Below are 2662 nucleotides of genomic sequence, written 5' to 3'. Positions count from 1 at the left end.
TGGGGAAATTTTCATGGACTATATCCTCAAATATGTTTTCCAAGTTGCTTACTCTCCTTCTCTTTCAGGAAAGCCCATCAGTCATATGATTTGGTCTCCTTGCATAATATCATATTTCTGTTCAGTTTTTAAATTTCTTTTTTATTTGTTTTTGTCTGAGTTGATTCAAAGAACTGGTCTTTAAGCACTGAGACTCTTTCTTTAGGTTGATCTATTCTGCTGTGGATGCTTCTGATTGTATTGAGAAATTCTTTTCTTTCTTTTTTTTCTTTTTTTTTTTTTTTGAGATGGAGTCTCTCTCTGTTGCCCAGGCTGGAGTGCAGTGGTGCAATCTCAGCTCACTGCAACCTCCACCTCCTGGGTTAAAGCGATTCTCCTACCTCAGCCTCCCAAGTAGCTGGGACTACAGGTGCACGCCACCATGCCCAGCTAATTTTTGTATTTTTAGTAGAGATAGGGTTTCACTATGTCAGCCAGGCTGGTCTGGAACCCCTGACTTCGTGATCCACCCACCTCGGCCTCCCAAAGTGCTGGAATTACAGGTATGAGCCACTGTGCCGGGCCGAGAAATTCTTGAAGTGGATTCTCAAGTTCCAGAAGCTCAGTTTGATTCTTTTTTAAAATAACCGTTTAGTCTTTCAGTTCCTGGATTGTTTTGCTGGATTCCTCAGATTCCTTGGATTAGGTTTCAACCCTGGATACTTGGATTGGGTTTCAACTTTCTCTTTGATTCCCATGAGTTTCTTTGCCATGCAGATTCTGAATTTTATATCTGTCATTTCAGACATCTCAGTGTGGCTAAGAGCCATTTCTGGGGAAGTAGTGTGTTTGTTTGTAGGTAAGCGGGAACCCTGGCTTTTTGAGTTCCCAGAGTTCTTGTGTTGATTCTCATGTGTGAGGGCTGATGTTCCTTTAACTGTGATATAAGTTGAGTATAGTCAGTTGACTCCATTTCTGGGTGTTTTGAGAAGGCCAGGACTCTGTACAGAATCTATTTCTGGCCGAATTTTTTCCTTGGTTTTCACAGGCACTGCATATTGGCAAAATGTTTTGGTGTTGTTTTGGCGTTCTGACCCAGTAGCTGATGCTTAAGAGTATTGGCTGGCAGATAGACTCTTATTCAGCCAAAGGGCTCTTTTGTGTTTTGGCACAGTTGGCAGTAGTTCTCTGTGGTTGAGGAAGAGAGAGATGACCCCTCACCTGAACTGTGCCTGAGCCTTGGAGGAGCCTCATCTGATCATTGGCTCCATGCTCACATTTCCTTCGTTAGGTGCTCTGGCAGGCAGGGGTTGTGGTTGGCAGACAGACACTACGCTTTCTGTGCCAGCCCTGTGGAGGGAGGCACACCCCGCTCCTCCACCAGCCCATGAATCCAGGCACCTCAACACTCCCATTGTTTCAAGAGCGAGGGCTCTGCCGTGCTTGAGTGCTACCATGCTCGTGAGTCCCATCTGCTAAGAGCAGTGAGTGTGGGTGAGGTCACCCAATCCACTATCTGTGTGCTTCCCAGGGAACATGGATCTGCAACCTCCCAGAAAGTTCAGGTAGAGATGGGTCCACTGTGTGGGAATCCCCAACTGGTGTGGTCTGCCAGACTAGGAGGAGCAGAGGTGGATGGGGTCACCCAATCCACTAACTGGGTGCTTCCCAGGGGGAACACAGAGCTGCACCCACCCACAGAGTTCAGGCAGAGTGGGTCTGCTGTGCTGGTAGCCCCAAAAGGCATGGGGCTGCGAGCAACAGGAGTGGTTGCAGTTGCCCACCTTGTTTTCCAGATGTTTCTTGGGGGAACCACAGGAATGCACTGGGCTGCACAGTTCAGGCAGAAGTAGGGCCACTGTGCTGGAATCTGGCACTGAGCCTTGCCTAGTGAAGGGGAGTGGAGCAAATTTACTGCTCTTGGGCACTGCTTCTGTGGCCTCTATTGTGGCTAGGGCACTGGCGCCAGGCTGCTCCGGGTCTGAGACCTGTGGAGGTCTCCATGGATATTGCATGTTGTCTCCTCAACAACTCTGGGCGCTCTATCAGTTTAGAGGCCCTGGGGAAGTTCAGGACATTCCTCTCATTTACAGGCTTGGGCAGGTCCCTGCGGGAAGTGTGAATCCCCTGGGGGCTGTGACTCACTCACTCTTTTCTCTTGTTGGGAGCTTCTCCTGGCTCTGCACTGGTCCTAGATGGGATGCTGCCCAGCTTTGCCCGTCTCTGTCCTCTGCATCCCTTGCTGCCTTGATGGATCCTGCAGTGTTTCCTAGGTGATCGGCTCACAGTCATTACTCAGGGCCATTGTTCACCATTCACCTTGTTTCCTCGTCCTGAGAGTGGTTCAAGAGCTGCTTCTAGTCTGCCATCTTACTTGCATCTCATTTTATTTTGTTTTGTTTATGGCTTGCTTTAAGCTATTTTCCTACTTTCCAGCTTTTCTTGAAATATTTAGGTATTTTACTTTATTTTATTTTCTTCCTTCCTTGTCTTCCTCCTTCATTACCTGTTTCCTTCCCTTTACGTTAATGATGTTTTGCATCTCATTCCATTTCTACCTCCTACCAATTTTGGAAGTTATATACTCCATTACTACACTTTTAGTGGTTAAAACTGAAAATGTTAATTTCTCTACTAAGAAGTTAAAATTAGCAGAGTGCTGTATAAGGTATGCAGTACACTT

General features: G+C 46.9%; 1 annotated feature.

Moving 5' to 3' along the window:
• Positions 415-960: an enhancer, noted in NCBI's record as "NANOG hESC enhancer chr7:53671803-53672348 (GRCh37/hg19 assembly coordinates)". NCBI's record gives its function as "activates a minimal SCP1, AML or CMV promoter by ChIP-STARR-seq in naive H9 embryonic stem cells {active_cell/tissue: H9 hESC(naive)}" and the evidence as "EXISTENCE:reporter gene assay evidence [ECO:0000049][PMID:30033119]".

The sequence above is a fragment of the Homo sapiens genome, chromosome 7 (genome assembly GCF_000001405.40).
Source record: "Homo sapiens chromosome 7, GRCh38.p14 Primary Assembly".
NCBI lineage: Eukaryota > Metazoa > Chordata > Mammalia > Primates > Hominidae > Homo > Homo sapiens.
The sequence above is the reverse complement of the archived record's forward strand: the minus strand, read 5'-3'. Positions and strand labels throughout refer to the sequence as shown.